Source organism: Homo sapiens, chromosome 17 (assembly GCF_000001405.40).
Source record: "Homo sapiens chromosome 17, GRCh38.p14 Primary Assembly".
NCBI lineage: Eukaryota > Metazoa > Chordata > Mammalia > Primates > Hominidae > Homo > Homo sapiens.
Window position 1 is genome coordinate 11,634,403 of NC_000017.11, and position 13,079 is coordinate 11,647,481.

General features: G+C 46.7%; 1 protein-coding gene across 6 annotated transcripts in view, besides 1 other annotated feature; it reads left to right on the forward strand.

Moving 5' to 3' along the window:
* The window catches only part of DNAH9 (dynein axonemal heavy chain 9), a 371,279-nt gene that overhangs the window by 35,933 nt on the left and 322,267 nt on the right, over positions 1-13,079 (forward strand). For 5 of the 6 annotated variants that reach the window (XM_011523703.3, NM_001372.4, XM_017024292.3 and 2 more), the window contains 4 exons: positions 2,232-2,382; positions 5,868-5,982; positions 10,229-10,297; positions 12,670-12,796. In XM_011523703.3, coding sequence (XP_011522005.1) covers positions 2,232-2,382; positions 5,868-5,982; positions 10,229-10,297; positions 12,670-12,796 — 462 coding nt within the window. Of the gene's footprint in view, positions 1-2,231; positions 2,383-5,867; positions 5,983-10,228; positions 10,298-12,669; positions 12,797-13,079 lie in introns of those variants that run through there. The other variant, XM_017024293.2, reaches the window with a different exon arrangement.
* Positions 2,978-4,177: an enhancer, noted in NCBI's record as "CDK7 strongly-dependent group 2 enhancer chr17:11540697-11541896 (GRCh37/hg19 assembly coordinates)". NCBI's record gives its function as "activates an origin of replication core promoter dependent on BRD2, BRD4, P300/CBP, MED14 and CDK7 cofactors, with strong dependence on CDK7, by STARR-seq in HCT116 cells {active_cell/tissue: HCT116}" and the evidence as "EXISTENCE:reporter gene assay evidence [ECO:0000049][PMID:35650434]".

Genomic DNA, 13,079 nt, shown 5'->3' on the forward strand with positions numbered 1-13,079 from the left:
GCTGCTGTAAGATCATCCAACTACTAGGTGGCCCCTCAGTGGACATGAATCCATGAGTACATCCAGGCCAAGGACTGTGAACAGACGGTGCAGGTTGGCCATGGTGGTCCCTCTGTGCACACACCTGTACTTCCTCAACAGAAGATGGGAGCCACAGAACTCGGAAAAGTCTGCTCTCTTATGCTTCCATTGAGGCAGAGCTACTTTTTACTGTCTCCAGAGATCTGGGTGATTGTTTTGTGAAAGAAAGTGTGACCCTAGATCCTCCCCAATGGAAGGCTTTTTAGCACCTTTACAGAGTCCTTAGAGTGCCTTGGAATCATTAAGGAAATCCAGTCAAACTGTCAGACCTGGAAAACATCTGGCCAAGGACCCCATATTTGGCTTTTCTCCATACCTGGTCATTCTGCATAACATGGCCTGGATGCCTCAGACTTCTAGGAGCCATCTAAGATTGTGAGCTGATGCCAATCAGCTCCTAGAGCTTGCACTCCCTCCAGGATTGGGATGCCAGTGAAGCAAAAAAATGGCCCAACCTGAAATAAGGAGGTAGGATAAAGAGCATAAGGTCTTAGACAAATGCAGACTGTTCAGCTTCCAGTTTTAGGACATGTGGATGTAATTTTATATCGTGTTTCTCATGTTCGTTGACTTAAAGCAAGGGTTCCACATTTTTTTCTACAAAAGGTCAGAGAATAAATATTTTAGACTATGGGTACATGTGTTTTCTGTCACACACTCTTTTTCATTTTATTATTTATTATTTTTATTTATTTATTTTTGAGACAGAGTCTTGCTCTGTTGCCTAGGCTGGAGTGCAGTGGTGCGATCTCAACTCACTGCAACCTATGCCTTCTGGGTTCAAGTGATTCTCATGCCTCAGCTTCTCGAGTAGCTGGGATTACAGGCACACGCCACCATGACTCGCTAATTTTTTTTTTTTTTTTTTTTTTTTTTTTAGTAGAGACGGGTTTTGCCATGTTGGCCAGGCTGGTCTTGAACTCCTGGCCTCAAGTGATGTGCCTGCCTCGTCCTTCCAAAGTACTGGGATTATAGGCATGAGCCAGAGTGCCCGGCCCTCTTTTCAATTTTTTTAATTCTCTTTTGAAATGCAAAAACCATGCACTGAGCAGTTTTGGGCAGATTTGGCTGCCCACTGCTGTACTTCGTCACCCTCTGACTTCAAGTGCTAGGTGGAGATGAGAGGTTATCATGGAAGGCACGTTTAGAAGCAGTGTATTGGTATATCCTAAATATAACTGGAGTCCTACATGGCCTCATCTCAGAAAAGCATCACAATGGAAGAAACACAGTCTAGGAGCCAGAAAGTAATTAAAAGCATTTCACATCTTGATTTTGCTGCTCCATGAAACACTGAGGGGTTAGGGCAGTCTGAATGCACAGGAACACATCTTCAGAGAAAGGTCAGCATCACTGCCATTCTCACGGCACCTGCTCTCAGAAACTATTTCCTTGTTCCCATTCTCAAATTTTTGCCCTTCAAATTCTCCCCAACATCCAGCCAACTTAGCTTCTTTTTCTTTTCCATCATTACCTTCTTTCTGTTCTAGGTTTTGTTTTTTTTGTTTGTTTATTTGTTTGTTTGGTTTTTTTTTGACAGAGTCTCACTCTGTCGCCCAGGCTGGAGTGCAATGGCACGATCTTGGCATCTTGGCTCACTGCAAACTCCGCCTCCCAGATTCAGGCAATTCCCTGCCTCAGCCTCCTGAGTAGCTGGGATTACAGGCACCCGCCACCACACCCAGCTAATTTTTGTATTTTTAGTAGAGACGGGGTTTCACCAACTTGGCCAGGCTGGTCTTGAACTCCTGACCTCGTGATCCACCCACCTGGGCCTCCCAAAGTGCTGAAATTACAGGCATGAGCCACCGCGCCTGGCCTGTTCCAGGTCTTAATTATGTAGTTCAGCTTAACCTTGCTGGGATCTTTAGTTATCCCTTTGTTTATTGGTTTATCCAGATTCTTATGCCAAGTAGAGCTGGGGGTGAGTAACTCGGCAGACAGGAATTTTCTGTTAGAAGCAAAGGAGAAGAGAAAGACTATGAATATCATCCACATATGAATAATTACAGGTCCAGCTCCACAATAACACTGTTCACTCTTCTTACATTGGTAGGCATATAAAGGAAAACCAGAACACTGGATTTGTATAACCATGGAAAGGTTTAATCTGTGATTTTTTTCCTCTTTTTCCTCCACCTTCCCTACAGCTGCTAGACATAGCAGGAAACCTCCTTGAAAGACCGCTGGTAGCGAGGGATACATCTGATAAATACCTGGTCCTCATCCAAATGTTCAACAAAGATCTGGATGCAGTGAGGATGATCTACAGTCAGCACGTCCAGGAGGAAGCAGAACTTGGTAGGCTTGTTAAAGGGGATTTTGATGGGGACATTCTGTTACTGGAAAGAAGCAACTCATTCCTCTTGTATTTGTTAAATGTCCATGTATGGATCCATACATTCTCAAAAAAGAGCAAGCACAACCTTCTTGCTTGAAATTCCAGACCACCTTGGGTGACTGGGGAGCTCTCTGAACTACGGCTTTCCCTGTTTCTGGGGCTGAGATTGGCAGGCTGACCCAGCGTGGTACAGTCTTCACTGCTTCTGTTCAGCTGAGACCTTGGCATTATGGATGAGTTGACCCTTGATCAGTGTTGCTACACTGACTAATCTTCAACACGCCTCCATTCGAAAATAAATGTTTACACGCCTGAGAAAAGTTTCTTATGCCTTCCAATGCCATAGCAACCATGCTTCTGGTGGGAGGAACCAGCAGGAGCCCTCCAAAGGGCAGTACCATGCCAAGGCGTGATGTCTCCATTTTTATTATGATGCTGCGTGTCAAAACAAATGCATTTCAGTTTTACGTACATTTATTGAGTCCTTACTACATGCCAAGCATGCCTGTGGGTCCTGTATACTGTGGCAAGTCAAGGTAAGGGATAAAATAAATAATGAATACAAAAGGCTGGTTCTTTATAGAATGTTGAGTGCTGCTCGGCTTGAGTTGTAAAGAATGGTAACAAGCTGGAAGCGATGGTGCGAACCCCTAGTCCTAGTATCTCAGGAGGCTGAGGTGGGAGGATCGCTTGAGTTCAGGAGTTCGAGGCTGCAGGAGCTATGACCCTGCCACTGCACCCCAGCCTGGGTGACAGAGCCAGACCCTGTCTCTAAAAATAAAATAAATAAGAAAGAAATAAAATACATTCCTATAGTCAGTCGCACAGCGCTTTGCACATAGTGGGTGCTCAATAAGTCGTTATTGGACTGAATGGCCTCTGACATCTGAAAAATGATGCCATTTGGATGAAATAAATTATGAACTTCTTATTATGAAAAGAAAATAAAGAAGAAGAGACTGTAACTCTTCCTTCCTCCCCAAGCAAAGATGCATTGTGGATGGGAGATTCGAGGGCAGGCTTAACAAGACAAGATGCATCGTGAGTGGGAGATTCGAGGGCAGGCTTATGGAAAAGGTAGTCTTGAGCTGAGCCCTAAAAGTTGGGAGATCAACAGTAAAGCAGAGGAGACAAAGGCCTTCAAAGCAGATATGAGAGGATATGGAATGTGATCAGCTGGGTCTGCCTGTAGCCAAACAAGGTGTGCAGAAGACATTCATTCGGCCATGGCATTTGAGGTCAGCTTGGGAAGTGCTCAGTGTGCCGCCTTAGGGAATTTGGAATTCATGATCAAGGGTAGGGGAAATTATCAAAGGCTTTTAAGTAGCTGAGTAAGAGGATTGCTCTGCTTGCAAGTAGGTTTCACGGTGAGGTCATCAAGAGTTGCCTCCACTTGGAAGTCATTCTAAGAAAATCCGTTGGCCAAGCTTTATGTGGGATTATCCCCATGACTTCTTACGGTCAGATACAGAGTTTGAAAACTCAAATGCCTCCAGAAGCTATATCGGTAACAAATGACCACGACCTTAGTACCTTAAAACACCACCATCCATCTTTCAGCTCACACTTTTTTTTTTTAAGACGGCGTCTGGCTCTATTGCCCAGACTGGAGTGCAGTGGCACGATCTCGGCTCATTGCAATCTCTGCATTCCCAGTTCAAGTGATTCTCCTGCCTCAGCTTCCAGAGTAGCTGGGATTACAGGTGCCTGCCACGAGGCCCGGCTAATTTTTTTGTATTTTTAGTAGAGTCAGGGTTTCACCATGTTGGTCAGGCTGATCTCGAACTCTCGACCTTATGATCTGCCTGCCTCAGCCTCCCAAAGTGCTGGGATTACAGGCATGAGCCACCACGCCTGGCCCTCAGCTCACACTTCTGTAGGTCAGGAGTCCAGCATGGTGCATCTGGGTTCTCTACTCAGAGAGAATCCCAAAGCTGAAATCAAGGTGTTGGTCAGCCTGAGTTTGCATCTGGAGGCTCTAGAGGAAAAATCCACTGCCATCCTCCTTGCTGTTGGTAGAATCCAGTTCCTCATGACTATAGGAGTGAGGTCCCCATTTCCTGTTGGCTGTCAGCCAAGGGCCACTCTTTGCAACTAGAAGCCATCTGCATTCATTACCATGTAGCCACCTCCATCTTCAAGCCAGCAACAGGACGTTAAATCCTCTTATGCATCAAATCTCTGCCTTCCTGTCCTGCCACCAGCCAGAGAAAACATTCTGCTTTTAAGGCCTCACCTGATTAGGTCTGGCCCACCCAGGGTCCTCTTCCTCCTGCTGTATGACATATCATGACCACAGGAGTACGCTGTCATCATAGCCACAGTTTTGACCCATGCTTAAAGGGGAGAGGATTATGCAAGGGTGAGGGTCATTGGGGGTCATCTTAGAGTTTTGCCTATCATGGAGGACAAGCAGGAAATGAAAATCATGGATCTGGACTGAGCATGGTGACACTAGGGAAGGGTGGTACCCGCGGTGAAATAAAGGAAGTAGCCACTTCTCTAGTTGCTAGTTAGAAATGCCAGCTGATTCTTGCTAATCTTCTCATTTTACCAGAGAAGCTGGGAAGTGAGATTCTTTAAAAAGCGAAACCTCACATTTGTTAAATCTTGACAACCAAATATAAGCAGACAAACCCATTGCTTGGGCTAACATAAGCATATCTAGTCTGTGCTGACTCGAGTCCAGGGCTCCATAATCCACATGACCTGCCTCATTCATCATCTTATGGAATTCTCACAGAAACTCTGGAAGTTAATTAAGCAGGGAAGATATTATTCCCATTTTATAGATGTGAAAATTGAGACCCAGGGTGATTGAGTTGTCTGTTTAAGGGAGTGTTTCAACCCTGACTGTTCAATTAGAGTCATCTTGAGAGCGTTTTAAAAAAACACTCAATTGTGGCCAGGTGCAGCAGCTCACGCCTGTAATCCCAGCACTTTGGGGGATTGAGGCGGGTGGATCACCTGAGTTTGAGACCAGCCTGATCAATATGGTGAAACCCCATCTCTACTACAAATACGAAAATTAGCCACGTGTGGTGGTGGGTGCCTGCAAATCCCAGCTACTCAGGAGGCTGAGACAGGAGAATCACCTGAACCTGGGAGGCAGAGGTTGTAGTGAGCCACGATTGCGCCACTGCACTCCAGCCTGGGCGACAAGAGTTAGACTCCTTGAAACACTCATGGCTGGGCCCCTCCCAGAGCAATGAAATCAGAATAGCTTGGGCATGGGACCCAGGTCCCCTGAGGCTGGGAGTGTTCGTCTCAGGGTTACTCTTTCTTCCTCTTTAACAGAACCCCCCAGGAACTCCAGTGTGCTCCCAGGTGACTTTAGTCTGGAGATAATGAGGCAAAAGTGGAGTACTTGGTGGGAGGTGTTTGCCGAGCGGAGAGGACTGAGGTGCTCTAGACTCATTTCGGTCTGTCTGTGCCATGTCTCCAGGGTTCTCCCCGGTGCACAAGAACATGCCCACCGTGGCTGGCGGCCTCCGCTGGGCACAGGAGCTGAGGCAGCGCATCCAGGGTCCTTTCAGCAACTTTGGACGCATCACACACCCGTGAGTATTGTGTTCCTGAAAGACAGGCTTGTCTTGGGCTGCTGTTCCTGCTCTAGAATCTGAGTGTTGTAGAAATGCAACCTGCTTAACGAAGGCCAGAAAATCATCTTCCTTTCTTTCCATTTCCAGCAAGGGATTAGACACCTATTGGCAAAACAGTCATGATATTGATGCATTTGGACTGAAGGGCAGGGCCCTTGGTGTTAAGTGCTGTAACTGGCTGACTCATTTTGCTCTGGGGGATTCATTTCTGGAGGACAGTGAGCCAGGGATTTTAAGCTCTGTGGAGTTCTTCCACACGTCTCCCTTTGACATCATGTCTCCTTGCTGCTGAGGCCACTGGAAAGTAATGAAGCCCAGTGTTTCCTCAAGTGCAGTATGAGGTCTCTGTCCATCAGGATAACTCTGGAAAACCTGTTAAAGATGCACATTCCAGGGCCTCACCTGTCACTGGCTGAATCTGAATCTGGTGTGGGCTGTGAATCTGCCCCTTCAGCAAGCTCCTCCTGTGATTCTGACGGTGACCAGGTTTGGAAACCCTCAGCTTGCTTCATAGCTGAGGTTAGAAGCTGAGATAGAAGCAACTCAGCTGCTAATTGTGATGTTGTGTTTAAGACGCTGGCTGAGGAAAGGCAGTCTTTCTCTGATACCTCTTTCTAAAAGACTTAATCTTGCTGACAGCACACAGGTTTTGGAAAACACAACAGAAGGAAAAGAATCAAACTCTGGCCATTGGACTCACAGGCTTTTTGGAGTTAGGAAGAGCCTTAGAGACCCTCTGGTCTGGCCCAAGTGGGAAGACTCAACACCATCAGAGGCCAGACAAATGGATGGCCAGGATGGGGTCTGCAGGGGGCCACCAGCACCCCACTCCAGCATTGCCAAGCAGAAAAGCAGACCCAATGTGAGCAATCTCCTGACTGTTGGAGATAAGCTGGAAACTGGATTTTAGAGTTGGACATCCAATTTTCCAATGATCAAGGATTCCATTTTTTCTCAAACTCTGTGCAGAACTAACAAAGCATGCCTGTGAGGCAGGTCTGCCCAGCGGGTGACCCATTTGCAGCATCTGCTTGGGTGTGGGCGAGATCTTTATTTTCAGATGAAGAAATGGAGGAAATGAAGAGAGAAGGGAGGTGACTTGCCCAAGGTCCTAGAGACAGCCAAAGAAAGAACTGGAAGAAATGCCTGATTCTCCAGGCTCCTAATCCAGAATGCTTCCCGGGGACCCCCCAGCCCTGGAAGTTTGGCGGGGAGTAGATCTGAGCCCTCATGCATCTCAATCACGCAGCAGAAGGCAGAAGGGAGAAGATAGGTGAATGGGGTGGGGAGGGGTGCCAGGGCTGCCCCTAGAATGTGGACTGCCACAGCTGTCACAGGTCTGGTTCCCAGGAAGCAGACCTATGATGTGTGTGCAGGAATTTATAGAGATCCTTTCAGGAACAGCACTCATGAGGAAGGGAGGGGAAACAGATCGGGCAGAGAAAGAAGTTGAGCTGCTGAGCTGCAAGAAAGTTGCAATGGGGGTCTCAGCTGGTCCTCCAGGGAGTTTGGGCCCTTCAGAGCTGTTCTGCCTCCGTACCCCTACATCAGCTGGTAGGATGTGGGCTTTCCTGGGGAGGGGCGTGACCTTTGGGTGAGGCAGCTCTCTCTGGCCAAGGCTGCTCCCAAAGAGGGAGGCAGCGGTACTTCTGCAGCAGCCAACACTCCTGGCTGGAGGGGACAGGGCGAGGCAGGGGTTGAAGCAGGAAGGTTTGGAGGTGTACCAGGGCCTGGTCCCAAGAGGCGATCTGGAAGGCACACAACAGAGACCTCTATAATTCCCGTGAAAACTCCCCCTTGTTTTAAAAATGAATTCAAATGTGTATTATGGGCCGGGCATGGTGGCTCACACCTGTAATCCCAGCACTTTGGGAGGCTGAGGCGGGTGGATCCCCTGAGGTCAGGAGTTTGCAACCATCCTGGCCAACATGGTGAAACCCATCTCTACTAAAAATACAAACAATTAGCCAGGTGTGGTGGGGGCAGGGGGCGGGGGGCGCCTGTAATCCCAGCTACTCAGGACGCTGAGGCAGGAGAATCACTTGAACCTGGGAGGCAGAGGTTGCAGTGAGCCGAGATTGCGCCATTGCACTCCAGCCTGGGCAACAAGAGCGAAACTCCATCTCAAAAAAAAAGTGTATTCTATTCTATAATAGGTATTGATTGGTTATTGAAAATGTTTTAGATTCCTCACCATGAAGTGACATGGGAACTGCAGGAATTTCACTGTGCTTATTCCTGTGACTTCCCAGACCCACTCGGCCACACGCCCACGTGAGAAGCCTCACTCTGCTCTGGCCTCATTCTTTTCTAGATACAAAACTGAGACCCGGGGTTGGGGCCTGTGGGGCTTGTGGAAATCACACAGCTTGGCAAGGGAAAGCGCCCATTCGGGCTGGAGCATATTCTACCTCTCCTTGCTGCCTGGCAGATGCATCTGCTCTTTCATCACAAACGTGGACTGAGTAATCAGGGGGAAAAAAAAACGCCAGCAAATTCATTGCTTTCTCTGCAGGCGCTAGGGCTTCTGTGGAAAGCTCGAGGGATCTGATGAAGAAATCCTATGTTGGTTTAAAGAGCAGATGGATTTTAAGGAATCTCTGCAGTAAGCTGCCTCATTTTGCCAGCAGGTCAAATAGAAACAAACCACCACATAGTTAGTGTGAAGATTTTGAAGAATTAAAGATACTTCACCAATTTCTTCCAGGACTGGACTTTCATTAGTGTTGTGGGAAGTGTCAAAACCAGTTGAGGGTAACCGTACCTCGAGCCACACTCTCTTCCGTGGTCCTTAGCATTCCTGCAGAAGCCTCCATTTGTGTGTGCACACTTGTGTTTACACATGTTATATGTACGTCCATGTGCACTTTCATGTATGTGTATTACATGTGCACATGTTTCAGGGGTAAGAGCTGGGAGGGACCCTCATGTAAAAACGTGAAGAAGTGGTAGTGTTTCGGATCGCGTGTTCTAGATGGATTTCAGAAAAGGGGAAACATATATTTAAATATATAAAAAACATGTTAATATATCTGTACCTATATAGATATTTACCTGGCATATAGTGTTATAGACAATCATGTATTACTTCACAATGGGGTTATGTTCTGAGAAATATATCCTTAGGCAATTTCATCATTATGTGAACATCATAGAGTGTATTTACACAAACCTATGTCTGTGGTCTAGAGTATTGTTCCTAGGCTACAAATGCCCTATGGTCTAGCTTAGCCTAGGAGCAATACGCTCTATGATCAACACGCTCTATGATCAATATGCTCTATGATCAATACGTTCTATGATCAATACGCTTTATGGTCTAGCTTAGCCTATGATCAATACACTCTATGATCAATACACTCTATGGTCCAGTGTATTGCTCCCAGGCTACAAACCTGTGCAGCGAGTGACTGTCCTGAGTATTGCAGGCAATTGTAGCACTATACTAAGTGTTTGTGTATCTAAACATATCTGAACATAGAAAAAGTACAGCAAAAAATAAGGCATAAAAGATTTAAAAAATGGTACGCTTGTGTAGGACACTTACCATGAATGGAGCTCACAGGACTGGAAGTTGCTGTAGGTGAGTCAGTGAGTGGGTGGTGAGTGAATGCGAAGGCCTAGGACATTACTGTACACTTTTATACGATTGGCAGCACAGTAGGTTTGTTTACACCAGCATCACCACAGCCATGGGAGTAATGCGTTGCACCATGTCAACAGGCAATAGGAATTTTTCAGCGTCATTAAAATCTTATGGGACCGCAGTCACATACGTGTATATATGTTGACCAAAATGCCATTATGTGGTGCATGACTGTATATAACATTGATGGTCTTAAATACAGAAAATTACAGCACCTAGAATTTTTTCATATCTCAATTTCCCTTTTATTCAGATTTTTGAAGGACCTCACATACCTTGTGTGTGACTGGCTCAGCTAGGTGAGGGTGCTGGTGGAGCTGCGGGCAGGAAAGGTTATGAGAGCTCTGACACTTGCGGAGCTGCCTGCGTTTCAGGAAGTGCAGATGCCCTCTAGTGGCCAGAGTAAGATGTTCGCGAAGAAGAAAGGCTCTTTCAGGGCTGTTTGGAAACGAGCCAAGGAGCTATTCACGCTCTTCTTTGGAGACTGCAGTTTGTTCCTCGGATTATTACTTTAACTTCTTCTAATTCTGTGTCACTTTTTCTCTTTTGTACGAGTAGTTGCATGGAATCTGCAGAAGGAAAGCGAATGCAACAAAAATATGAAGATATGCTGTCATTGCTAGAAAAGTAAGCAACTTCTGGCATTGCGTGGGTCTGCAGATTGCACAGCCTCCATGCTGCCTTTTGCAGCTCCGAGTTTGTGCAGATTCCTCAGTGGCTCCGAAGTATCACTCTATGTTTTATGTTATAACCACGATATTTGTGAGTACAGTATTTCCGGGTTGCACACACACAGGGTATCTGGGGAATTCAGCTGTATTCTGGAAATAAATACTTTTCCAGTGTAGTTTTGCTGGGAGTGTGAACTAGAGCTAGGAGTGGGGTGCTACTCATGGAACTCCGAGACGGATGTCACGGAAAATTGCAACAGCTGCTTACTCAGCAGAAAGCAACAGTGCATGCTGCACAAAGAGGCAATAAGTTTTAAAAAGTACTTCCTGCATCATTTTATTGAGAAAGCATAAGAGTGAAAATTTTATATGACTTCAAAGTTGTAACTGCTTTAAAGCTGAATAAGTCTTTCCAGGGCTTAGGGTCTAGAAACAGCCATTGTCTTGATTTCTCCTTCTGCCATTTGTTCTTTCTCCTGGTTCAGGAGGGAAGAATGGTGGCCGTTGAGATTATAATTGTGATTATGCTTAGCATTGTTCCAGACAGATTAATTAACAGCACCTCTACCTGGCAAGTAACACACATTCCACCCCTTTTACCTCTAAAATAACTTCAAGTCCATCCACTCCTCTTTGTCTCCACCACCAGTGTCTTCACAAGAGACTGGAACTTCTCCAGGCTGAACTGCTGCAGTGGCTTCCTAACAGTCCTTGCTGCCTCCAGATCTGTTCCCCTCAGTACCCACATTGTTACCAAATCCAATAATGTCACCATAGCCACCACCAGCTGGGAGGCCTTGCGGTGGTTCTCACAGCCTCCTTAACATGACATGAAAAGTCTTCCTTGAGGTGGTTTTTGCCTCCTCGTCACCACCTCCAGCCTCTGCCATGCTCTGTAGTCCTTGTTTCAAGCACACAGTTTCAAGCATGCTGTTTCTCACCTCTACCCTTTGGCTACACCAGGAATGCTCACTCTCCCTTTGCCACCCAACCTCTGGCCATCCTCTGAGACCCAAGCAAGCATCCCTTCATCACCTCTCCTATGAAACCTTCCCTGACATTCTCCTTATCATCCCCAGCCTTCCACCTCTGCTATTAGGTGCCTGATGTCCTGTACATTTCTCTTTTTCTTTTTCTTTTTTTTTTTTTTTTTTGAGACGGAGTCTTGCTCTGTCGCCCAGATTGGAGTGCAGTGGCACAATCTCGACTCACTGCAAGCTCCGCCTCCCGGGTTCACGCCATTCTTCTGCCTCAGCCACCCGAGTAGCTGGGACTACAGGTGCCCACCACCACACCCGGCTAATTTTTTGTATTTTTTGTAGAGACAGGGTTTTACCGTGTTAGCCAGGATTGTCTCGATCTCCTGACCTTGTGATCTGCCTGCCGTGGCCTCCTAAAGTGCTGGGATTACAGGTGTGAGCCACCACGCCTGGCTAATTTTTTTTTTGTATTTTGAGTAGAGACGGGGTTTCTCCATGTTGGTCAGGCTGGTCTCAAACTCCCAACCTCAGATGATCCACTTGCCTCGGCCTCCTGAAGTGCTGGGATTACAGCTGTACATTTCTTTAGGATTGCAGTTGCTGCACTGTGTCAGGGTGATCTGTTGGCCTGCGATCCCCACCATTAACTGCCTTTACTGTCAGGTACTCATCCATCATTTGTATCCCCGAAGTCCAGCACATGGTAGGTGCTTGGTCAGTGTGTCATGACTGAATGATGAACGTCCATGAGCTACGTAAAGATTAGTGTGAGAGCGAATCTTCCCCAGTAACTTCTTGCAACATTTACTGAGACTAATCACAACTTCCTTATCCCCTCAAAAGATCTCATGGGGTCTTTCTCCTCTTCTCTGATTTAAGCAATGCTACCTTTAGAAATCTGTGGCTATGGCCGGGTGCAGTGGCTCAAGCGTGTAATCCCAGCACTTTAGGAGGCCAAGGCGGGCAGATCACCTGAGGTCGGGAGCTCGAGACCAGCCTGAACAACACAGAGAAACCCCATTTCTATTAAAAATACAAAATTAGCCAGGCGTGGTGGCACATGCCTGTAATCCCAGCTACTTGGGAGGCTGAGGCAGGAGAATCACTTGAACCCGGGAGGCAGAGGTTGCAGTGAGCCGAGATCACATCATTGCACTCCAGCATGGGCAACAAGAGCGAAACTCTGTCTCAAAAAGAAAGAAAGAAATTTGTGGTTACTCTCAGAAGCTGACCCAGCCTGGTTGGGTCAATGACTAGTAGTATCTTCAATTTATGTTACAGATCATGACCAGGCACCGGTGAGCTGGGAGGGGGCTTATGAGGTGGCTGTTGTCTCTGACCCTTGCAGGTATGAGACAAGACTTTATGAGGATTGGTGCCGGACAGTATCAGAGAAGTCACAGTACAATCTTTCCCAACCACTTCTAAAACGTGACCCAGAGACGAAGGAGATCACTATCAACTTTAACCCACAGGTCAGTTGGCTGACAGTAGCTCTCTTTTGGGTTCCTGAAGAGTTTCTTTGAACTCTGCTGATTTCAAAAGCGTAAAGACTTTTATTTTTTTGAGACGGAGTTTCACTCTTGTCGCCCAGGCTGGAGTGCAGTGGCGCGATCTCAGCTCACTACAACCCCTACCTCCTGGGTTCAAGTGATTCTCCTACCTCAGCCTCCCAGCACAAAGACTTTTTATAAGAACATGCAAAAGATTCTCAAAATAATTTGTACCCTGGATTTCTTTTTTGGGATGAATTCTGGG